This window comes from Homo sapiens, chromosome 1 (genome assembly GCF_000001405.40).
Source record: "Homo sapiens chromosome 1, GRCh38.p14 Primary Assembly".
In the NCBI taxonomy this organism is placed as follows: domain Eukaryota; kingdom Metazoa; phylum Chordata; class Mammalia; order Primates; family Hominidae; genus Homo; species Homo sapiens.
Window position 1 is genome coordinate 184459488 of NC_000001.11, and position 24872 is coordinate 184484359.

The 24872-nt window shown below is 40.8% G+C and overlaps 1 protein-coding gene across 1 annotated transcript in view; it reads left to right on the forward strand.

Annotated features, from left to right (window-relative positions):
* Window positions 1-24872, forward strand: part of C1orf21 (chromosome 1 open reading frame 21) — a 241991-nt gene that overhangs the window by 72459 nt on the left and 144660 nt on the right. The window contains exon 2 of the mRNA NM_030806.4: window positions 17899-18116. Within this exon, the coding sequence (NP_110433.1) occupies window positions 18023-18116 (94 nt within the window). The 5' untranslated portion in view covers window positions 17899-18022. The remainder of the gene's footprint in view (window positions 1-17898; window positions 18117-24872) is intronic.

The window sequence follows — 24872 nt, forward strand, 5'->3', positions numbered from 1 at the left end:
TCTTATAACAGAAATTTATTACTGTTTGCTGTACTGTATGTGGATTTAGGATCCCAAAGCTGGCTGAGAATTGTTATGGCCAGTATCTGTCTGTGACCATCTCTTACAGTTTTATGATTCATCTGTACTTTGGCATTGAACACCTTCTGTGCTAGGAGTTGGGGGTAGATTATCTAAAAAGTGAATAAGAGAGAGCCCCTGCTTTTGTCACTCATGGTCTAGTTGGAAAGAAGACACATAAAAGCACAGTAAGGATAGGATGTAGGAAGTGCAGGAAAGAGCTGCGAGCCCTAGGAGGGACATGGACCACAGAGGCTTCCTAGAAACCAGGTGCTTTGAGCTGAGGCAAGAGGTTGAGCAGACCTAGCAGGGAGGGCATCCCAAAAAACTTTTGCATCCATCCATGCACTTTGCTTCCATTTTTATTTCTCTCACTTTTCCTCTGGCCGCTTCCAGTCTCCTCAGCCTCCCACAGCTGCTCAGCACACCGTTTCCCTTCACTCCGTTTCTCTCCAGCTCTTGTTCTTCAGGGCCTTCCCCACAGGGACTCCACACACGGGCTCCTTCCACACCAAGGTTAGCAGAGCCAACAAGCACCCTGGGAGAAACACACACTTCCTTGGTGGCAAATTGGAAATCATCACTGCTTTTCTGTAGACATTTAGCCGCAGATTTGATTCAAAATCCTGTTAGTAGGTGGTGACTGAAATAGTTTAGTGGGGGCAGGGAACAGCAAGAGGTAGGAGGAAAGCCATTCAGTAAATCCCCCAAATCCCAATGTTTGCCCTGCTCATTTGAGCAACTGCTCCCATTGTCAGGAGAAGGTCATTCCTGTATGAATGTTTACATCACAAATAAAATGAAGCTTCAGTAGACATTCAATAGAAGTTGAGTTGTGTATGTATTAACAAGAAGTACTAAGGCTGGAGATGTTATAAATAGCATTGAACATCCATCAATACTAATAGATTTTTCTGTTTACTAAAACATTTCTACTCTCAAGCAGAGGGAATAAAAATGGGGTGACTACCTCTCTTTCTAAGGTAGTGCTTCTCTTCACCTCACTAGGGCACGGTACATCTGGATTGACTTGATAAGCATCTGGAGTTGGGCTGTTAGTATTGTCGTCGTCGTCTTCTTCTTCTTCTTCTTCTTCTTCTTCTTCTTCTTCTTCTTCTTCTTCTTCTTCTTCTTCTTCTTTCTTCTTTCTTTTTTTCTCTTCTTCCTTTTTTTTTTTTTTTAAGAAATGGGGTCTCATTATGTTGCCCAGGCTGGTCTCAAACTCCTGGGTTCAATCAGTCTTCCTGACTTGGCCTCCCTAGTATCTTCTAAGTAATCTAGATAAGACAGAGCCAATGTGTGTGAAAGGCAAGTGGTAAAGTGACAGTTGTTTTTGTACCTGTGGTACAGCAAATGCTCTGAATTCTGTGGCTTTCCATCACTGTTTGACGTTGAGGACAGGTGTCCTTCCTTGACTCTAGCTATGGAGAAAATGTGGCTTGTATACCTGCCATTATCTTCAACTCTAAGCACCACTACTGGAGGCAGTATTGTCAGTATCAGCACCTCACCTCACTCCTGGGACCCAGGAACACCCCCTGAGTCTTGCTTAGGACCCCAGAGCCTCAGCCAATCAGGCTTTGAACTTCCTTCTAGGCAGTGTGTTGACCTACTCCATTGAATGGTCTGTTCTCATGCCAGTTGGACAGGGCTCCCTGATGCCTCCACACACTCTGTCTTTGGTCTTCTTGACAGAATGTTGTTGGTGTTCAGCTTTCAGCTTCTAATAAGGGGTGGTTGAGTTGGAGGGAGAAGAACCACAAAATTCAGTAAGTCCAAGATTTTTGGTTTTAAGCATACCAAATAAGCAGCCACGCGATGTTGAGAGCCCTGGCGGGTTAGGGATCTCCATGACCTAGGATACTGCAACTGATAAATCTGCTCCTGATCATTGCTGCCTCCCAAAGATGTGTCTTATCAGTGAGCCCATTTCCTGCACTACAGAACCAGAGCCACTGGCCAGGAGTCAGCTAATGTTTAGAAAGGATGAAAGTCTGGCTGCTGCATTTCCTGTCTTGTAGATTGATGACCTTTAGCTGTTTTGTTGATGTCATTGTATATCTGTTTTTTTGGGATGAGTATAACAAGAAAGGAAAATGGTTAATCTAGCAAGAACTCATTACACCGTGAATGATGGAGGGTAGGCTCCTGTTTTATTCCGATTTGATTTGTTTGCTTCATTGGGGAAAACAAATGATCATGTCACCCTATAGAGAATTTCGCTTTCCCTTTGACGTACAAATAAACAGCCTCGCACGTTTCATTTATTTTTGCCGCTGCTGGAATGGTTGATTAAAAAAAAACAAAACAAAACACATTGTTATGCTGCTTTCCTATGTCCTGACCTTCACCACTGGGTAGAGAAGGAAAACCAGTAAAACATCTCTATTCTTTTAAAAAATGAAGGACCCTTAACTAGAAATGCCCATTAGAAACCAGAGTCCATTACAGTGAGATGGATGAGCTGATAAACCAAACCAAATTAAACAACAGGGAGGAGGACATGGGTCTTTCTTTTATTTCTTATAATATACCTTAGAGATGAGGATTCACCTTTTGTTAATTTGTTAAAACACTAAAGTGTCACCTTCTTTCTTCCTGTCTTCCTCATTCGATGGACCACACCTAGTAATGAATACATTTGTTCCTTGCCATTAAAAATGGGTATTCAGCCTAGGGCATACAAAGCATATGTTCGGTATTAGTTGTTAGAGGGTTAAAGATGCTGGCTAATTTGGGTTTTTCCAAGACAAAAGCCTAACTGGCAACTTTGTGGCCTCTGGTTTCAAGTCTACTTCCTATTTATATCCCATGACACTCAGGTTCTTGAAACTTGGCAAAAAGCCTCCAGCGTTTTGTGATTTTTTTTCTCATTGGCCAATATCAATTTGTAATGAGCCAAACCTGACTTGAGTAGCAGATCTACAGGCCCATATCTTGGAGGTATATAGGTATTTGGCTGTTGAGGGCATAGATTAGGAGGTCTCTTGACATTCTGTTGCTAGGTTACTGAACCCTGAATTACTGAACCTTGAACACAGTATTTGTGTTCTCAAATTGGTATTTATGATCGAAAGCAGCTGCTATTCATATTTTTTTGGGGGGGAATACAGGGAAATATAAAATAAATAAAACTAAGTAGTTAGATACAGTGCATCAAAAAGTAATTGTAAGAAAATGTTATTACAAACCAGGTAAAAGAGATTGATTCCCCCTTCCTCTCCATCCAACATCAGAAGAATTATAGTGTTCGGCCGGGTGTGGTGGCTCATGCCTGTGATCCCAGCACTTTGGGAGGCTGAGGTGGGCGGATCACCTGAGGTCAGGAGTTCAAGACCAGCCTGGCCAACACAGTGAAACCCTGACTCTACTAAAAATACAAAAAGTAGCTCAGCGTGGTGGCAGGTGCCTGTAATCCCATTTACTTGGGAGGCTGAGGCAGGAGAATCACTTGAACCTAGGAGGCGGAGGTTGCAGTGAGCCGAGATCATGCCATTGCACTCTGGCCTGGGCGACACGAGCAAGACTCCATCTCAAAAAAAAAAAAAAAAAAAAGAAGAAGAAGAAGAATTATAGTGTTCATGTGCAGGCAGTTGTTGGTCAAGCCTTTGTAGAGCTGTGGCATCAGCTCAGCTATGACCTAGACTTGTAATAAAAGTCAACTGATGCAGTTGTGCATGCTGCAGGCCAATCCTCGTGATCTCAGGGTAGGGCTTGGGATGTCAGTCTAGGGTATATCTTTTTCTTTCTTTGCCTTTTTACTCCTTTTCTACTAAATTTTCTCTTCTATTCATAATTTTTATCATATGGACAAAAGTTTCTATTTGAAAACCTTTATTCAGAGAATAATTACTACTTTGTGTAATTATACTCTCAACATTTGACCTTTTTATATAGCCTGTAATAATTATAAATTTTCAGCTGCACTTTTGGTTAAAGCTTTTATTTTTTTACTAATTTCCGTAGGTTTCTCATCTTACACACTTTTGCTTTCTAACCAACATGTCAGGTGAGAAATGTTTATTAATCTTCTACTTTGTGCAAAGAATTGGATAGAATCAAAGACATCAAAACCATGACTTGCCTTAAAAATTTATAAATGACAATGCATACAAGTTAACAATATAGAACAACAGTGAAGATGTCCCAAGGCTGTGTATAGAATTATTTCCTAAAATAGAGGTAAATGCTAACTTCAAAAGGAAGAGGACTCCCTGTGGGCCAGGTTGGACTGAGATGGAAAAATAACTGCAGACAATTATGACATGTAGCAACATGGATAGGTGAGGAATGGCTCACATAGACACATATAGATGACGTTAGAGAAGGGGAAGATCTGAGTGCCTGGAGCAAGATTTCTTAGAGGTGATAAGACTTGTTCTGGACCTTGAAGGTTGGGTAGAATTTGAATAACAGATGGAGATTAATGGGGAGGGCTTTCTATTTAAGAGGAAGACTAAGCAGAGAACAGGAAAGTACATAGTGGGATTAGTAGCTACAGACTAGACTGGCTGGAGCAAGATGCCTATAAAAAGCTAGATGGGATTGGAAATATGGATGGAAAGCCTTGAATTCCATGAGAAGGAGTTAAAACTTTCTTTTGGAGGCATTCATTTATTTTTTATTTATTGAGCACATGTTCTGAGCTAAGCCCTGTTAGTAGCTGGTGATATACCACAGGGGACAAGAAACATATATCTGTGCCTCTCAAGGAGTTTGCATTCCTTACTTATGTACCCAGTAGACAGGTAATTAGGAAGTAATAATATCCTGCACTATGATGAGGGCTATGAAGGGATAATTATGGGGTGTGCTGGGACTTTTTGGGAAGAACAGCTTACCTAGACCTTAAGTTATTAAGGCAAAGGTGAAGGAGAGCCTTCTAGGCAGGGTGGTGGCACATGCCACCTGTGGCAGGTGCAGAAGAAAAAGACAGTCCCCTGCTCACCATTTTCAAGAGGATTTGTTGAGTTTCTGCTCTCTGCCTGACAGGGCACCTGGCATAGCAAGAGAGACAAATACAGGAGATGGTTTCTGCCCTCAAAGCGCTTAGTATCTACTTTGAAAGAAATGTTTAAGAAATATGAAATAGTTGACTCTCATAGTAAGAGTTTAGGAAAGAGAGCAAATTGAAGGAAGACATGGAATGGTGTATAGACTTCCTCCTGGAAAAATATAGCTTAAGCAGAAATGGAGAAGTAGGACTATGAGCAGAATATTGAGGAAGAGGGGTGGTTTTCGAGACCCACCTGATGTGATGAAGAGGTTGCTTAGCTACCTTGGAGCAGTAGGAAGAGGCAACAGCGGGTCAACAGGGCTGGGTCCTGGGGGACCCCTAGTAAGTTATCTAAACTCTGCCTCAGTTCTCTCTCTTTCTCTCTCCGCCTCTCTCTCTCTCTTTTAAAGAGAGAAGGGATCTTGCCGTGTTGCCCAGGCTGATCAGGAACTCCTGGCCTCAAGTGACCCTCCTGCTTCAGCCTCCCAAAGTGTTGGGATTACAGGAGTGAGCCACCATGCCCAGCCAGTTTTCTAATTTGTAAAATTAGGAACCTTGACCTTAGTCATGTCTAGCTTGAAAATCCAGGTATATCTTAGACTTTACCCTAAAGGCATTAGTTAATCATGGAGGATTTGGGACCAGAGGAAGGACCCAACAGAATTTGTGCTTTAGGAATGCTAATTTGTCTTTCTCTTAGAAAATTAATGTGATAATTTATTAGAAGTAAAATTTTTTACTGAAATGTTTAATCATATTCTGACACACTGAAAAGCCAGTAGGGTCATCCTGATTTCCATTGGACATGACTATGTGAGTTTTTTTCTCTTTCAAAAAAGCAAAAAACAAATAAAAATCTGGGCATAGAAAAAGCCGATTAATAATAAGTAAGAGATTTTGGGGCTTGGTCCAGAAAATGATCTACAAATTTAGATTTTAATTTAGATTCTAAAAATTCTTTTAAATTTTCAGAGAGATCTTGGAATTGGAAAATGCATGTCTTTTGTTTTTATCGGCCTGTTCCTGGGGTGGTAATGGCAGTGATGTAATAGAGGTGATGGGATATCATCCCAGATTCAAGAAAAATAAGCAGTTTGCCAGCTGTACCTTTGTCGTATGCAGGAATGTAACCACCACAGCTGGGCCACCCAATGGAGGGCTCACAGAGACAGACAGCTGGGGCAAAGGGCTCCTTAGAATAGAATGTGATCAGATCCTCAATTTACCCTAATACTGTTATACTGTTTTCTGATAAAAGAGTGTGTCATCAAGTCACACCTTTAGTGCTCTATTCAGATAAAAACTTCAAATTTTAATGTCTCAGACTGGAAGTAGATGTGATGTGCTGAAGAGTGTTAACACCACGAGGCGCTGGCTGATGCATCTTGACGCTGCACTGCCGTCTCCTGGTGGTCAGCCTCAGGCATGTTCTTCCTGCCTGTGTTGTCTAGTTCTGAGCTTGTCACTATGGTCTCTTTCTCTAAGTACTTTTTGCTGTAGGAAAGAACACCATGTTCACTAATAGCGCTACTTCAAATGGAGAACATTGGCTGATTTAAAATAATTATTTTGGAATAGGCTACAATTTCTGGTAAAGGTCATTTGTGAGGTCCTAATAGCTCATATCGTGTAACCGTATGTGTTCTTTAATAGTGTTTCAGCTGAAGAAGGGCATCAAGGTTAAGGAAGAGCATCTTGCCCTCACTTTTATGTTTTGTTATCTCAAACCCCATGAAACATCCCAGAAATGGTGGTAGGTACGGTCTAAAGACTCTTCAGTCCGGAGTAATGAGCAAACTCGTCAAGGGCAGTAGAATACTGGTACATGAGAAGGGAGAGGCCATCACTCAACTGACTTTGCATTGCCCTCCTGGGTCTCTTCTCTCAGTTGCCTGCTTTTTGTTTTCCTTTAGTGGATGATTGCACAGAATGTGTTTTTGGCCAAGTGCTACAAAATCAATGAAGTTCCCAAAAGTCTTGTGCATTTCTTGAGAGCAATATGAGAACTGAGGTGCCTTTTTCTTAAATGTGGTAGGTTAAAGGGGCATTGATTTGTGCTACCTGAAAATAATATTTATAATTTCAATTTGTTTTGCCTTCTAAGGACATCACCCTTAAATAGTTCTTTGTTATGGTAAACTAATCGAAGATTTAAGTTTAAGCAAAAACTTATACATGCAAACAAAAACCTTGATTTTTTTTTTCAGATGGGCAAGATTAGAGGTACTAGTAAATATCCCTGGATTCTATTGGAAAGTGAGGAAATGGACATTACAGTCTAGTTGTCTTACTTATTTTGGAATCTCTGGTCCCTAGTGGAATGTTGAGGACTAAGCAGGTTTCCCAAAAATGATTGTTGAAATAAATAAATAGCACAATTTTGGGGGGCAGATTAGGGCCAGTCATACAAGTGCTAACAGCTTTCAGAATTCCATTATACTGGTATGAAACTACATATTACTCCTTTTCTGTCTTTTTAGGGAGTATATACTAAACATAATTTAAGATTCTCTATGATGGCCCAGATAAACATTTTTAAATTTAGTTATTGGTGATGAACTGAAGAAGTCATTGTCCATGCAGGTGACCCAGGACATGGGGCTGAGAGGGGTACTCCCTTCCTTAAAAGCCGTCTCATCTCTTCATGAAAAGGAGTTTCTAAGAAAATTCATTCATTCATTTATTGCAGACCTACTATGAGCCTGACATTGTGCCGGAGGGAATACAGAAGGGAATGATGAGGAGATGGTCATGGCCTTGGAAACCTGCCTGGTGAAGGAGACAGACATATAAAAGTGTAATAGTTGGAAGATGTGAGCTACATGCTCATTGAGGCTATGATGAAGCAGGAGAGAGCTCACTGACCTTGACTTGTCTTTACATAGTCTTTCCCTTTAGAGCCCTTGGATATGGCACACAGAGGCTGACCTCCCTGCCCCAGCACAGCAGAAACCCCTGGCACTGCTCAGGGCTGCCTTTGCAGGTGCTGTACAGGGAGCATGTACTTCTGCTGCAGAACTGCTGTCTCCTGCTTTCTGTCTGCATCCAGTCTGCCTGTTTATGTTTGGTACAATTCCTAAAAACCACCAAGCTGCCAAAATTAACCTCTCATCTGTCTTGACCATCTCTTCTTTCTAGTGTCTCTTGTCCCTGCCCCTCTCATCTTAGAGTTCATCACTATTCCATTACATAATAATGATGACAGTGATGGTAATGACAATAGCTATCTCTTATTGATTGCCTACTACTATGTGCCAGGTGCTGTCCTAAACACTTTCCTCTCAAAATTCATGAGGTCATATATCATTTTATAAATGAGGACCCAAGGCACTGTGAAGTAAGTAATTTGCCCAGAGACACAAAACATCTTTCTTTCCATCAGTCACAAAAATCACAAAATACTGGGTATTCTCTGTTGTAGTTTTCATCTTTAGAGCTTTTATGGTGTGTGTGTGTGTGTGTGTGTGTGAGAGAGAGAGAGAGAAACAGACAGACAAAGAGAGATTGAGAGAGAGAGAAAAAGAGAATGAGACAAAGTCCTTCCCCCCAAAAAGAGGGTTTTATGTTTACTTTTTTTGTTTTCAGGAAACTTCCTAATCTTGAGCTGTTCTAGATAGACCTTGACAGTTCCAGAAGGAAGACTTTCGGATAGTCAGGGCTTTCCTCTAGAGATGCTTATTTCCTTGAGCAGCTCTCTGCCTAGCAGGATGGAAGCAGGTTTTCTGAATCATTGGATCATCTCAGACTCTCTTCAGACCTGAAATAATGTGGCCCGAGGCAGAGCACAAGGAGAGAAGGATCTTAGGTCACAGTTTACATCAGTCTCTCATGGATAATTTTATTTATTTTATTAAGGAGGGGGAAAAAAGGAGGAAGGTGGTTATTTTGGAAGGGAAGAGGGATATGTATGTAAATTTTAAGGGAAACAGTTTTTCAATTTGTAGGATTCAGATCTTTTCAAAGTATTATAATACTACATTACATTATTAAAATTATTGACAATCCTAAGAATATTAAATATATTTTTACTCAAATATCAAATCAGGTACTCAAAATATGAATAGGCTTTTTTGTTTTTAAAAAAACGATTCTTGGCTGGGCAGAGTGGCTCATGCCTGTAATCCCAGCACTTTGGGAGGCTGAGGCAGGCAGATCACCTGAGGTCAGGAGTTCAAGACTAGCCTGGCCAACATGGTGAAACACCGTCTCTACTGAAAATACAAAAATTAGCTGGGTGTGGTGGCACACACCTGTAATCCCAGCTACTCAGGAGGCTGAGGCAGAAGAATTGCTTGAACTCAGGAGGCAGAGATGCAGTGAGCCGAGATTGTGCCATTGCACTCCAGCCTGGGCAATACAGCAAGACTCCATCCCAAAAACAAAACAAAAGAAAACAAAACAAACAAAAAGGCCGGGCTTGGTGGCTCATGCCTGTAGTCCCAGCACTTTGGGAGGCTGAGATGGGTGGATCACTTGAGGTCAAGAGTTCAAAACCAGTGTGGCCAACATGGTGAAACCCTGTCTCTACTAAAAATACAAAAAAAGAGAAAAAAAAAGTCAGCCAGGCATGGTGGCACGTGCCTGTAGTCCCAGCTACTCAGGAGGCTGAGGCACGAGAATTGCTTGAACCCAGGAGGCAGAGGTTTCAGTGAGCCGAGGTCGCGCCACTGCACTCCAGTCTGGGTGACAGAGTGAGACTCTGTAATAAAAACAAAACAAACGAACAAAAAAAACTATTCTCATGTTTGCTTCTAATGATTAGCTTAGAAAATTCATGATCTTTCGTGTGTTTATTGTATTTCCTTACATCTACCTCAGTAACCAGCTTAAGGCTGAGATTACAAGTCATGCTAGCAGTAAACTAAGGGATTGAACTGGATTGAAAATGTGGAATATATTGGATTTGTGTAGAAGTTGAGGCTTTGCAATTCAATGATGAAAACACATGTGCTTTTCAGATGTGTGCATGGGCCAAGGGATCAGTGGCATTAACTCTTTTTTGTCATCTGGCACCATGAAAGTAAACTGCAGGTTTCTGAGAGATTAATCCAGCTACAGTTCTCTGTTGTAGTTTATGGTGTTAGGGAGGATCAGCAGCTCAGACTGATAGGACATCTGTTTCACTATACTCTCCATCAGCAAATGCTTACGGAGGGTATGCTAAGAGTTGCACATTTTGCTGTATGATCCTGCATCCCTTGGTGCATAAAATAAAGCTAGGGCAAGCACTAATTTAATTAGCTTGAAATATCTTCTGACTCTCATAAGCATCTCTGATCCTTTGTTTCCTTGCAATGTACATTAATCATTGGGATTTTATTTTACTTTATTATGTTTATGATCTGTTAGCCCTGGCTGGATGCTGGTCCTCCAAGGGCAGGAATCCTATCTGTTTCTTACACTATGTTTCAACATGTGGAGTGCCTAGGATGTTTTTCCATGGCTATTCTGGAAGGATCACTACTTATTCTCTTTGATTAAAATCAAATTGTGCCTTTTAGTAATTCATACTTATTCTGCATTCAGTTTTGTGTGTGTGTTTTTTTATTTTTAAAAGTCTCTCCCTTTCCATCTGTTTTCTCTCGTTATCTCTGTCTGTTCCTGGTCATTGGTAGTCTGAGTGTGCTTGGGTTAGGTCAGCAAAGTTGCCTGCTATGAGGGCCCTCTGGGCAAGCTGATTTCACCCAGTGCTCATGAAAAGCCCCACGTCTGATTAGAAGTGTTGTCCACCTGGCATAGCAGAGTACACGCAGAATATCACCTTGCATATATAAGTGCTTTTTCAAAGCATTTTCTTATCTACTTAGATTTTCAAAACAGTCCAGAAAAAAAAGGGGGAAAACAGGTGCTGCTATTATTAATTTTAAGATACTAACAAGGAAATCACATGGCTTTGTCCTAAGTGACATGGGGAACCAGCAGCACATCTGTCAAGAAATTCTAGTCACAGGTGTCTTTCTGTAAAAGCAGTGGTGCAGAGGTCCCCCATGACACAAGCTGAAGACCTCTTGCAAATACCTTTGGTATTCTGGGTCTTAGAAGTGGAAGAAGAAGGCCAGGTGTGGCGGCTCACGCCTGAAATCCCAGTACTTTGGGAGGCCAAGATGGGAAGATCACTTGAGGTTAGGAGTTCGAGACCAGCCTGGCCAACGTGGCGAAATCCCATCTCTGCTAAAAATACAAAAATGATCCGGGCATGGTGGCATGCATTTGTAATCCCAGCTACTAGGGAGGCTGAGGCAGGAGAATCACTTGAACCCAGGAGGTGGCGGTTGCAGTGAGCTGAGATCACACCACTGCACTCCAGCTTGGGCAACAGAGTAAGACTCTTTCTCAAAAAAAAAAAAAGAACAAGAAAGAGAACTCAAAGTCCAGGAATATCTGCCATTGCCTTTGACCACTGAGGAGCAAATCTAGAAGCAGCATAAGTCTTCTGCATGGGTCCACACAGCTGTGAATGTGTGACTTTAATCAGGGGCTGGTGTTTTCCTCTCTTGCCTTCTCAGAAATAGTGTCAGCCATGCATGAGCTCATGTCAACATACACAGGTAACACAGAGGAGTTTTCTGGTGCAGGAGAAATGTGCAACACTCTTAAATCCTTAGCTGAAGAACAATTATTGCACCAACTTTTTCTAACCAGCTCCCTATAAGAAATACTGTTAAAATTAATTTCATTCATTAAAGGCAAGATAGAGAAGAAGAAATAGGGGATCTAAGCTGTGTTTATTTTTCCAGCAAATACGCAATTGAAATCAACGCTATTAGGCCAAAACATCATTGGTAATCATCTTTAGACCTTATAGGGCCTCCTGAAAATTTTGAGGTTTCAGACTTGCAAGTATGTCCTAGTTGAGTTAGTACTGAAAACAAAGAGTGTAAATAAATTGAATGTAGGTAAGACATGGCTTTTTTTTAAGTGGTCATTTCATCCTTTATATCACTACTTGGACATATGTTGAGGTAGATCATAGAGTCTAAGAAAGAGGCCGAGAGACATGAAACCCAGCCGTGGTCCTGAGGCAGGCATGTGACAGCTGGGACCAGAGCTCGGGCTTCTCATGCCCTCTCCAACACTCTTTCCACTTGCCACCTCTTCTCCTTGGCCCCACACCTTACTGCCTGAATCTAGCAGAAATGTGTCCTATTGCATAAACACTTATTGTGGTTACATTTCTGAGAGACAACTCTGTAGAATTACTATATGTGGACATGAGAGTTTTCCCATAAAGAAGGCAGAAGCCAAAATCCTTGTATCTTTGGAGTTAATAGCATATTGTCGATTGTCATGCCATCAGACGAGTGTGAGGTGAGGAATGAATGTGTTCTGTGATGCCAGCGATTGTTGGGTAATGAAAGGCTTGACTTTTCTAGATTATTCTCATGTCAAATGTGACATCTCTTTATGTATTATTTTTAACGTTCACAATGAAATGTGAAATGGTGTTAACAGTAGCCCAAGGATACCAAAGCTTCAAGATTAGAAATCACTTTTAAGTTGCCTTTCTTCTTCCCCCTCGGTGGGCTGCTGTATTAACACTCATTACAGTGAAGCCCAGCAGATGGGCAAACAGACTGATTAGTTATTTATATATATATAGATATATATTTTTTCCTTTATGGAGCTTAGATGTTAGCTGTTTCTTCAATAAAAGAGAGGAGTTTTTAGATGTGTCTTGTCTTGATTTGCCTTTTTAATCAGAAGAAGAAAGGGGGCACTTTGCTCCTGATCTATTAATAATGTGGCTGTATCCTTTGCTTAACTGCTGACTTCATAGCTCTCTGTGTGCCCGTTGCAATCAGAATTTGATTTCTTTCCAGTCCTCCAAGCCTCATGTTCTTTTTGGCCTAGAATTTCTTTATGGAATGTATCACTTTTAATTCGTATTTTAGAAGTGCCTTTCTTGACAGGGAATTTATCTACAATATTTTTGCCTTTTGTATCCAAAATGAAAAAGTCCATGACTAATTAGTGGAAAGTGAAATTACACATAATGTTATGTAAATAGAAATATTTTCCTGTAGCCTTTTTTTAAAAAAAGTTCAAATATCTCTGCTTTTTCTTAAAAACAGATTTTGCTTTTTTTATTCCTTCCCAATTTTATAAAAGTAGGATTTTTTTTAATGAAACCTTGTTTCTAGTTAAAAAAAACTAAGGTAATGAAAAGAATTATTATAATCTTTCCTTATAAAAGGACAAGGTATTTCATGTGTGTAATATGTGATATGTATTCATACAAAAGTAATGGACCTACTTGCCTGGGGAGAACTTTCTCATGTTGTCACATGAAGTATTCTGGAACAGTAGTTTCCCTTCTGATATCTGAAGCACCTTGAGGTACGGTGTAAGGAGAGGAAGAATAAACATGCACGGTTATACATTTTTAAAAATATTTCAACTGGGCTTACAAATTTGCTGATTATTTTATCAAAAGTGGGAAAAATGTCCTGTAAAGATGGCATTCAATTAGGCTAGCTCATGGTATCGTGGATTGCACTTCTAATTATATAAGGCAAGATAATGTAGACATACAACCATTTGGGGAGGGGTTTACACAAAGCCATGGGGCAGTTAATTGGACCTCATGTTTTTAGAGGTGCTTGATGATCCTATGACAAAGATCATTTAGATTAAAGAAAAGTCATCCTCAGTGGGACTTAGTTTTAGAAGATTCCATCAAATGTCAAAGGGATGCTTCGATTTAATTCTCACACTGTGATCTGTGACTTCAGAAATAACATGCTGGTAATAACAACATGTGACAACAAAAGTCTCAGAGCTGCTCCAGGTCGTGGTCTCTGCATGCTTGTTTGCACCATCAGACTTACCTCTCTCTAAGCGCTGTGGTTTCAGGAAGGTAAACAATAGAGCATGTGAGGTTGGGAGAGAAAAGCTGAGCAAAGCGAATGAAAAAATGGAAGCTAAAAAAAAAAATGCTGGAGTTTACGTGAAGGATAGCATAAACTGAAGGGAACGTCTTTTGAGCAGATGATTCTAGCGGTCTTTGGGGATATGTTTTTGAAGGTCTGCTCAGTGTGAGGTCTCAGTTGGATTGAGATTAAGTGAAAGAATTTTCGGTAGAAATGAAACCTTGACATTATATCAGGCTATAAAAGAGATACAAATCAGGGATATTTTAATCCTGTTTCTTTAGCTCTGCTCAGGTCTCTAACCTGACATTTCTTGATATGCTCCATTCCAAAGCTGAGCCAAATGCCTGTGAGGTGAACTCTCTTGTCATCCTGTATTTAAGCTGCAATAGCTGTACGTCATTGCTGCAAAACTGGTCTTTCTAATTATCTCCTTCTCTGATCATTCTTGTTCTATAGGGATAGAGAAGAAAAACATATATCTTGCCTTGTTTGCCACTATATGCACAATACCTACCAAACACATATCTGTCACTTAGTATTTTAAAATCAAAATCTGTTGATTAAATGAATGAATAATTGGACAAGTGTTTATGTGCAGAATCCAAATGACATAGTAAAAAACTTTCTTCAGTGATCTATGATTAACTTTGTGAATTAGAGATCTTTTGCCCCTCAAATGACTTCATAATTATCACCTTCAAATGAGTAAATTACTAAAATATATTCCTGATGAGGTCCTGAAACTTGAAAGCATCACTCTTAAATTTGAATTACTGCTATAAAATAATGTAGCACATATGTTTCAGAAACAAAATCTATACCTATTTATAATTTGGTGAGAACTCATATTGAGCTATAGTGCTTTAAAATATGTGTAATTAAATTGAAATTTCTTGAGTCATCATTTGAATTGGGTGTAAATCATGTCTAATCTGCTTGTTAACCTGCCCCTCACCCCAATGCTTGAATAATAGAGACATCCTTTAAAAAAAAGAGCCATTCTTCTGTGTCTTATTTCTGTTAGCCTTCTGCAATGTATTTGATTTCAAATAATTTCCACCTTTAAAATTCAAATAAAATTTTTTTGTGCAAACACAACTTTTAAAACACAGAAGAAATACCACTAACTGCTTTTCGGGAGTAGCAAAGGATAAGTCATGGCTTCAATTCTTCCCTTTGCTTCTTTGATAGCATAAGAGGCTGTAGATATGAAATTGGAAAAGCAAGAGGACTCTCAAAGAGGATGATTGTTAAGTTGTCTCTTAATTCTCAGTGTACCCTGATTTTGTTAGGATTGCCCCCTCTCTCCTGTTTTTACTTAGTTTATTCTGAAGAGGTGGCAGGGAAGCCACCTAGGTTCGCCCTCTCACTTCAATCTCTCCTGCATATGTGTAAGTGTGAAGTCGTTTTCCCATACTTCCTTTTTGAACAGTAAGGAATCATGTCTGGGAGCCCACGCCTGTTACCTTACGTGATAATGCTGGGGATGAGGAAGCAGGGGGATGGATGCTGCCCCTGAGAAGGTGCTGGCTGGGAATCCAAAACAGCAGCAATAGCAGCAGCAATAACAACAACAACAACAGCAAAAGCAGAAGTAGCAACAGCATTGGCTGCAGCAACAAAAACAGCAACTCGCAGCAGCCTCCGGGTTAGAGAGGGGATTCTTCCCTTCTCCCACCTTTACAGCTGAACCCCTTGTCCTCTCCCTCTTGTCTAATATTTCATTGATGTTTCTTCAAAAACTATGACAGGTTGACAGAATGGACCTCTCCACAACTCATTTAATATTTTCTCACAGTGTGCTCTAACTTGGATCAGAAAGAGTACCTATGGTCTTACGATGTCCTTTATTCAGTTGAATGAAGGTAGCAAGGCCTTCTGCAGGCCCTTCACGAAGTATCAGCAGTCCAGTCCTCAGCCCTGCCCCCCCATCCCCACCTGACCCCTCTGAAATGAACACACACAAATAGGCCATGCTCTTCCACATTCTAGTGTCTTAGCTCAGTCTGTTCCTTGCAGCTGAATAATGCTACCATCCTTTCAGCCTGGTAAATTTCTACCAAACCTTTGATACCCTACAAAAATACTACTTCTTTCCTCTGCCCAGTCATAATCTAATCTGCTTTTTTGAATTCTGCATTGCCATAGATTCCTGTGAAACCACAATCAGAGCTTGTATTACACTGTATTGCGTGCAATTTTTTAAATGTCAGCATCTCTTCTCCATAAGGCCCCTGAGCTCTATACACCAGTATGAATAGACCATCAAATAGAAATACTGTAGCCTTGAAGACATTACTGCTAAATAATGGAATAGGGTGTGTGTGTGTGTGTGTGTGTGTGTGTGTGTGTGTGTGTGTGTGTGTCCATCCACAGGCCTGGATTTCATATAGTTTGAGATGAAGACTTGTTAACATTAAGTTACATCAAGTATGGGGAAGATATAAACATTAGCCATCTAGGAGAAAATCTTCCTGGTTTGTAGAACTTTACCAACCAACTCTACACTTCCTATTAATAATTTAACATAACCACTGATAGAGAATAGTTTGAAGAATTATATGAGAAATGACCAATGTTATAGTCATTGTCAATATTTATGGCAATTTGTATTTGCTTGGCTTAATTTAAGATCACTGCCTTTTTATCTAAGTTCATTTATTAGATCGATTATGTTAATTTGAAAAATTCTCTTTGCTGAGATTTTATGGCTTAAATGATTAAATTTCTACATCCAGAGATGTCCTTAGTGCCCTAGCAAGGAGGGTTTAGGAGCTCTAGTCTTCTTGGTAGAGAAAGCTTATAGCTACTGTGTAGTAGCACTATCTGTGAAACTTGAGAAACTTCCACTGTTCATGGGCGGGGGGCAGTGGGACGTGGGTGCTGATGAAGATTCAAAGAGGCTTGATGCCTTCTTTGTTCTGCCAGGACTCTGAGGAGGTAAGGGCCTGTATTACAGTGGGAGGGATGGAAACAAAGGAATGTGTAGGAGAGATGTTTCAAAAGAAACATTTACAAGACTGGAGTAAGTCATCTATAGGCCTGGAATGGTTGGGTGAGGATGATGAAAGCATAAAACAAAAATGAGCAAGTTGAGCAGAGCAAACACTCAGAATTTGAGGAGCCACCTTGGATGGGGCAGGGAAAGGTAAAGTCACTTAAGTCAATTTGAAGATTATCTCTTTTGCAGTGTATCTGTAAATACTCTTTAAGCCTTTATGAGAAATCGGTAGAAGCATGAAGTTTACGCCAAAAGCTTGACAACTGCTTTGTTGCTTTTCTTCATATTTTGACGTCTTCTGCCCAATCCTTAAAACATTTGGCTAGCTAAGCAGAAAATGGACAGAAGTAAGTTTTAGACCTTGCCCCATCTCCTTCCTTTGTCTCCAAAACAGTGTCACCTCAGGTAAAATAAAATACTGAATTATTTACAGCCTTAACCAGAAATGTATAAAGTAGCCCATGTACCAGTCTGAGGAGGATGGCTACCGTTTCCTGGCAAAATTTGAGGAGCTGGGAGGGCTGGCTTCAGGGTAGAATGAGGAAGATGAAGAGCTTTTCCCAGCCTCCTGAACTAGGTGGATCTCAAGAGTGGGCTCTCCTTCCTCGACAGTTTTTGAGATTTCAGAACATTAGTAAACTTACAGGTACTTTAAGAGTATGTATGGCAAGCAGTAGTGCCCAAATACGTATTTGAATAAATACGTATTTTTGGTATCTCCTCAAAAAGTTCACTCCTTGGCCATGTGTTGCATAGGGACATGCCTTTCCATCTTGCTTTCTGAGTGGGAAATCAAGTGAGAATGGGCCACGCTGCACATGGTTCTTCTGTGCCCACCACAACACCAGTGCGATGGGTGGGTCTGTGCATGACTTCTAGTATACTGCAGGGCACAGCACACCAACATAGTGAGGCTTGTGTTTTGCTGCAGTCACTGCCCATTCTAATCTAGCTTTCTTTTCTTGCAGGTGCACACATCTTGACCAACTCAGCAGCAAGGTGGATTTTCTTTGTGTTTAAAGAAAAAAAATGTCCCTGTGTCTGTAGAGATGATTTGCAGTTCAGCCCGGCTGAAGCTGACCGAATGAGACTATGGGCTGTGCCTCCGCCAAGCATGTTGCCACTGTTCAAAATGAAGAGGAAGCCCAGAAAGGGAAAAACTACCAGAACGGAGATGTGTTTGGCGGTGAGTCCTATCAAACTTGACTCTTGACCCATTGATTCTAGGCCTTTCACTTTTTTTTATTGATACATAATATTTGTACATATTTATGGGGTGCTTGTGATATTTTGTTACATGCCTAGAATGTGTAACGATCAAGTCGGTATTTAGGATATCTATCACCTCGAGCATTTATTGTTTCTGTGTGTTGGGAACATTTCAAAACGTATCTTTGAGCTATTTGGAAACATACAGTACATTATTTTTAACTATAGTCACCCTACTCTGTTATGGAACATTAGATCTTATTCCCTCTAAGCCTTTCATTTTTGTGACAGTGAATAATTACAGTGATTATTGGGTTATACCGTCTGAGGTGAAAGGGTGATGAGACCTAATGGAAATCAATGTGGATCTTTACTTTGGATCATCTACATCATAATTTATACAAAGTGGTATTTGAGGAGGAACATGGAGGTTTTTTTTGCAGGAGCTAGCATTTAAATCAAGCTTCAAAGAACCAGCAGAATTTAAATTGGTGCATGGGACAGTGGCCATGGGGTGTCCTAGTAGAGGAGAACTGTAGGACTAAAAACAGAAGTCCAAAAGGGGAGTGAGTGAGGATTTATAAATGAGGGAGTGAGGTGTTTTTTTTTAAAGTGTAATAGAGAGTGAATTATACATTTTCAGATTTAAAATAAAAATACAATGAATCTAATAATCATCTTTTAACCTCTCTCTGTTGAATCAAAATGACTTTAGGATATCTAGTGCAAAGGCCACAGATTGGCAACCCATGGCCACACCTGGTCTGCAAATACATTTTTTTTGCCCCCTCCCCAAAGAATTTTAAAATAAAAAGCAAGACAGCCTTTAAAAATCAGGATATTTCACATAAAACCTCAAATTTCTTCAAAAGAGCTGGCAGCAATAGGTCTTCATTCCTTGAGACAACCGTCAGGAGGTGGGGTAGCAATTGCCCCTGCAGCCAGGCTGTGGCCTCCAGTGAACTGCTAACGCTTCCCCGGTGCATGCACACCGAGTTCAGTTTGCTCATTGACATTACCTGGCCACTTACAGGCTATTATGCTTGCCTGATCTTGAGATTGGCCCTTAGATGATTATTTTGAAGTATGGATATATAAACAAAATTTCAATTAGTACCAGGCAGATGAAGCAATTTTTGTGGAATTATTTTAACAATAATACCTACTACTTGACATTTGCACGATGCTTTCATTTATAAAAACACTTCTTCAACTCTTAGTAAGGGACATCATAGAGATATGTTGTAGAACCTCACTGAGATAATGTTTACGTGTAAATAACTGTAGCTGCATCATTCAGTCACTGTCAAATAATTCTACTACTTTTAGAATCTCTAGCTTTTGGTTCATTGTAATGATTGTTTTAGTCTCCTGGTGAAGAATTGGGAATGGTACGAAAGAGCTAAGCCACAGTTAAAAGTGGACTCGTGTGTTTGGGAAGAAAACTGTTGCATTTTGTTCCAAGGAGATGCACTAATTGCCTGGAACAAATTTGTTTCTACTGGTAACTACCTATAGCATTGAGAACTGTGGAGAAGAGTAACATATATGAACATCTTAATAAAACTACAGTCCAGATCTCTGAAACCACAGTTTTTAGGGAAAGAGTTGATTGGAACTAGAGTCATTACTGTCATCCTGAAACGCTTGACTTTTAAGAGAAAATAATCTAACATCAGGGATTTGTTTAACTTCTACCTGATGTCCTGTGTCATTATCATTTTTATAATAGAGCTACCATTTATGGAGCCGTCACCATGTGTCAAACATCGCAAGGCATTTACATTCATTTTTATGTTGAATTTTCACAACAATCTTGTGAAATATGTGCTACGCAAATTTTACATACTTGGAAACTGAACACAGAGAGACGGACTTGTCCGAGGTTACCCAGCTACGAAGTGCTAGAATCCAGATTGCTCAGACTCCAAAGTCCACCTTTCTTTCTCCATGTTGTTTCCTGATGCCGTGCAGCCTCCCATAGGTCTTTTTTTTTTTTTTTTTTTTTTTTTTGAGACAGTCTTGCTCTGTGGCCTAGGCTGGAGTGCAGTGGTGCGATCAGGGTTCACTGCTGCCTTGACTTCCTGGGCTCAAGTGATCCTCTCACCTCAGCTCCCTGAGTAGCTTTGGGACTACAGGCACGTGCGCTCACACCTGGCTAATTTTTTATATTTTTAATAGAGATAGGGTTTTGCCATGTTTCCCAGGCTGATCTAAAACTCCTGGACTCAAGCAATCTGCCCACCGTGGCCTCCCAAAGGGCGGGGATTACAGGCATGAACCACCACACCCGGCCCTCATTCTTTAATGCACAAAAGTATTGATTGGTCTGTATCCTATGTATAAGGCCTTTTGCTAAATGCCATGGAGATTACAGAGGTAAATAATCCATAAACCTTGCCATCTAGGACTTTGTAAGAAGATAAGGAAGTGTTACGAGGTAGAATAAGCCAAATGCCCGAAGAGGAAAAGACATACCTCATGATAACAGTCAGGGGATAGATGCTCTGCCTTAAACCGCAGAATCAGAGCAGATTTCTTACAGAGATGACATCCAAACCTGGCCTTAAAGGACTGAAAGAACAAAACCTGTCTCAATCTAAACTGGAAAAGGAACAGCTAGGTAATGTAAGACTTATTCAAGAATAATAAATATTCTAATTTATGGAACTAATGAATGGAACATAAACTATAAATGGGACAGAATTGGCTAGAAAACTAAGTTAGGGTTAAATTATGGAGAACTTCGAATACCAAATGACAGTCTTTAAAAAGATAACCTTAGATTGTCAGAGCAAGATTTGGTGATATTCAATACGTTGTGCTTACATTCTGCTTGGCAATGAGACCACTTAACCATCCCTTCACAACTTGTATAGCCAGGAAGACTCTATTGTTCTAAAGCACCATGTGTATTTTGCAGATGTTAGCATCTGATAAAGGAGCTTTGTGTTAGTCAACTATTGCTGCGTAGACTGTAACAAACTCAGGTTCAGTCACTTGCCACTTGCAGAGTCTAATTCACAAGAGCGAGGTCTGGCATAAAGAAAGTGACTTTATTCCATAGCTTAGCCTGGGGGAAGAGGTACAGGCTCCTGCCTTTAAGAGCACTGTTTTGCTTTTGGGGCAGAAAGCATGGACTTTTAAAGGGGGACTTGGCATGAATGGCATTCAGAGGAGGGAGTGAGCAGTTGGGGGTCTGCGTGACTCGCTTTCGTGCTTAATCTACTGGTGGTCGAGCTGGCTGCATCACAAGCAGAGCTAGGTTGTATAGTGGCCTTTGTCTCAAGACACTCTCCAGGTGGGAGAGCCTTCCATCAGGGACATACTTTAGGTTGCAAATTGACTGTTGTCTCTTGAGGCAATCTCCTTGTGGGAGAGAGTTTCTGCCCTGGAGCTTCAAAGTAAGCACGTAGTTAGATAAGCTTCCAGTGTAGTGAGTGTCTGGTGAAGGGAAGGTAAAGGTTATGATTGCATTTCTGAAGAGCTAGGTAGGAAATGGGAACAGAGGAAAAGAAGGAAAGAGAAAAGAAGAAATAACTTAAAAAAAAACTCTCTCTCTTAGAAAAATGGGGATACTTGGTTACAAGACAACTTGAAGCTCTCAGTCGCATTCCACAGTAACTGTTTCTTTCTTGATTATGAATTGGTGGGTCAGCTGTGGTGACACTTCTCTATGTATCTCTCATCTTTCTCCAGGGACCAGCAAGCTAGTGGGGGCATGATCTCCTTTCACAGAAGGGCAAGTGTGCAAGTGATACATATGGTGCCTCTGAAGCTTGGACTTAGAGCTGGCACACTGTCACTCATACCCACATGCCACTAGCCAAAGCAGGTCACATGAGTGAGCCCAAAGTTAGGCAAAAAAGCACACTCTGACCACAGTGCATTTACAGCAAGGGTATAGGTGCAGGGAGGGTCAAGATTGGGGCTAAAAATCAGTTTACCCCAAGCCCACCTGGTCATTGCTCTCTCTGTGCCTCTGTGTAGTTCATGCCATAAAGCGTCGTTTAAGGCCTCTGCTAAATTTTCTTCATCCTCCCAACACCCACATTGAAATTTTATTTACTCCAGCATTCTATCATTTTGTTAATCTCTCTAACATAAATATTAGGAAGTTTGTGGGATTGTGTTAAATACAGCAGGAATACAATGGGGAGAGAACTTCACCAATCAAGGGAGATACTTTTTCTAGCCCTGCAGGGCTCTGGGGGAAGAATTACCAGAATCCAATGTCAAGACAGTTCCAGTACCCTAGATATTACTGAATATCACATTTTAAATATGACGAGTTAAGGTCTTGTCTGTGTTTCTTCACTTAAATTAATTCGCAAGGAGAAGAAGTTTTCAAAATCCCACAATGATCACAGATGGTGGCAGATGAGTGATAGTGATAGGCCCACTTTTTAACCATTTGTAACCCATTATTTCTGTGGTCTCTTATTGTGTAACAAATACCCCAAACATAGTACCTTGAAACATAACCAGCTTATTATTCCTCACGATTCTGGGGGATGGCTGGAGTTCATCTGTTGTTCTCTCCCGGGCTCAGTCATGCAGCTGCATACAGCTGGGATCTCAGCTGAACTCAGCTATCCCAGATGGATTTGGGCTTCTGTCCACAAGGCCACTCTTTCCAGCTGGGTAGCCAAACTTTTCAGCCCGGCTTCCAAGAGAAAAAGTGGAAGCTGCCAGGCCTCTTAGGACCTGAGCTTGAAAGTTCAAGAATGCTACATTTGCTGCCTTCTGTTGATGAAAGCAAGTCATAAGACCAGCCTAGAGTTGAGGGAATAGAGTCTCTCCACCTCTTGAGAATGTGCCCGTAGAAAGAGGAGGAATTGTTGGGAGCCGTCTTTGGAGACCAACGCCCATTGCAAGAGGAAATTATGACTCCATGACTGGGATATATTTCAACCTGGACAATTATATTCTGCTTTCTAAAATACCCCTCTGTTTTTCACCGAATAAAGTGACCTTATTTATGCTTTAAAAGCTAAACATTTAAAATGTTTTAAATGTTATTACCACATGTTGTTGAAGATGTGACAAAGTCTGTGAAGGGTGGCATATTTGGGGATGGCTCTGAAGTATGTGTCTCTGAGTGTGTGTACACACACATTTGATCCTTTTCCTAAAGGTGTTAATTTAATTTCAAAGCTTCTGAAGACATCCTCAGGAGCTTTGATGCCCAATGTGTTTATACAAATGGTAATTTCCATTTTTTTGAAGCAGTTTGGGCGCCATGATGTCTTGGTTATTTAGGAGCTCCACCACAACAAATGTGTGTGACAGAATTTCTGTAGCATGTTCCACCATGCAGAATTAAATGCTAAATGGGCATCTTGACTCCTAGATTTCAGAAAATTTAGGAAATCATTGACAAGGAACTTCACCAGTGATATTTACTTACATATTTTCTTTCACTTTAAGTGTTGAAGCATAAAAAGTTTCAGATCTAAAGTTCTGCCTGACACACTGTGGCCCTTTCAGAGGTCAGATCCACTTCAGAAGGTTTCATCTTCAGATTGGAATTTTCCTTCTCTCAGTTGTCAGGGCAGATGTGAATAGTGGTCAGCAGATCTGCTGAGGTCATTCAGAGGACAGCTGAGCAGATTGCCAAGACCAGCTTGCAAAAAGTAAGTGACCAACAGGTTCAAGTTATCATGAACTGGTTAAGCAAGTTCTAGAAGGCCAAGTGCTTATTGGATTTCTTTCAACAGTCATTCTCTTAGACAACTAAAGTGGGTGCATAGAACACATTTAGGCCTTATTAGGGAAATTAATACGTCAGGCTTGAGATCATGATCTCTCCTGCAGCCCGCCCCCAAGTGGGGAGAAACTCTTACAGTTATATTGACTTCCTTTTCTGCGCTTTTTCTGTTTCCAGTGTTTCAATAATGTAGGCTTTAAACTTGAGTCACTTTTGGCTTTTGCAGTTAGTTTCCAGATCCTATAAATCTCACTCTCTCCTAGCATTGCTTTTCTTACCACCACTGTAGTTTAGGCTGTGACAGCCCATCACCCCAAGAACTGCAGTGTCCTCAGGAGGAATCTCCTGTTAACCTCCTTTATTGCTTGTTTGTTCCTTTGCTTGTTTTTGGTCTGTTTTTACTTCTTCATTTTTTGGCACCACTATCAGATCAGCTTTTTAAAGTACTCCTCTGTTGGTATTAAATCTTCTCTAGAACTTTCTGTTTGTGCCAATAAATCCCAAATCCTTAGTGAACATCCAAGGCACCTGAAGGTGGCTCATATCCACCTTTGCTGCCTTTGTGTGTGTGTGTGGGGCGGGGGTGGGGGGTGTATGTGTGTTTTGAGATGGAATCTCACTCCATCGCCCAGGCTGGAGTGCAGTGGCGTGATCTCAGCTCACTGCAACCTCCGTCTCCTGGCTTCAAGCAATTCTCTTGCCTCAGCCTCCCAAGTAGCTGGGATTACAGGCACCCACCACCGCGCCCGGCTAATTTTTGTATTTTTTTTTTAGTAGAGACAGGGTTTCACCATTTTGGCCAGGCTGGTCTTGAACTCTTAACCTCAGGTGATCCACCCGCCTTGGCCTCCCAAAGTGCTAAGATTACAGGCGCAGCCTTGTTTTGTACTCTGTTCCTTCATGATCGCCTTCTTCAGTCAACTGAGCAAGGCAGCCTTGTGAACTTATCCTGCATCTTCGCTGCTCTAGGCCCTCCAGTACATGGTGACCTCTGCTTGGCACGGGCCCGTTTTCTCGACTTCA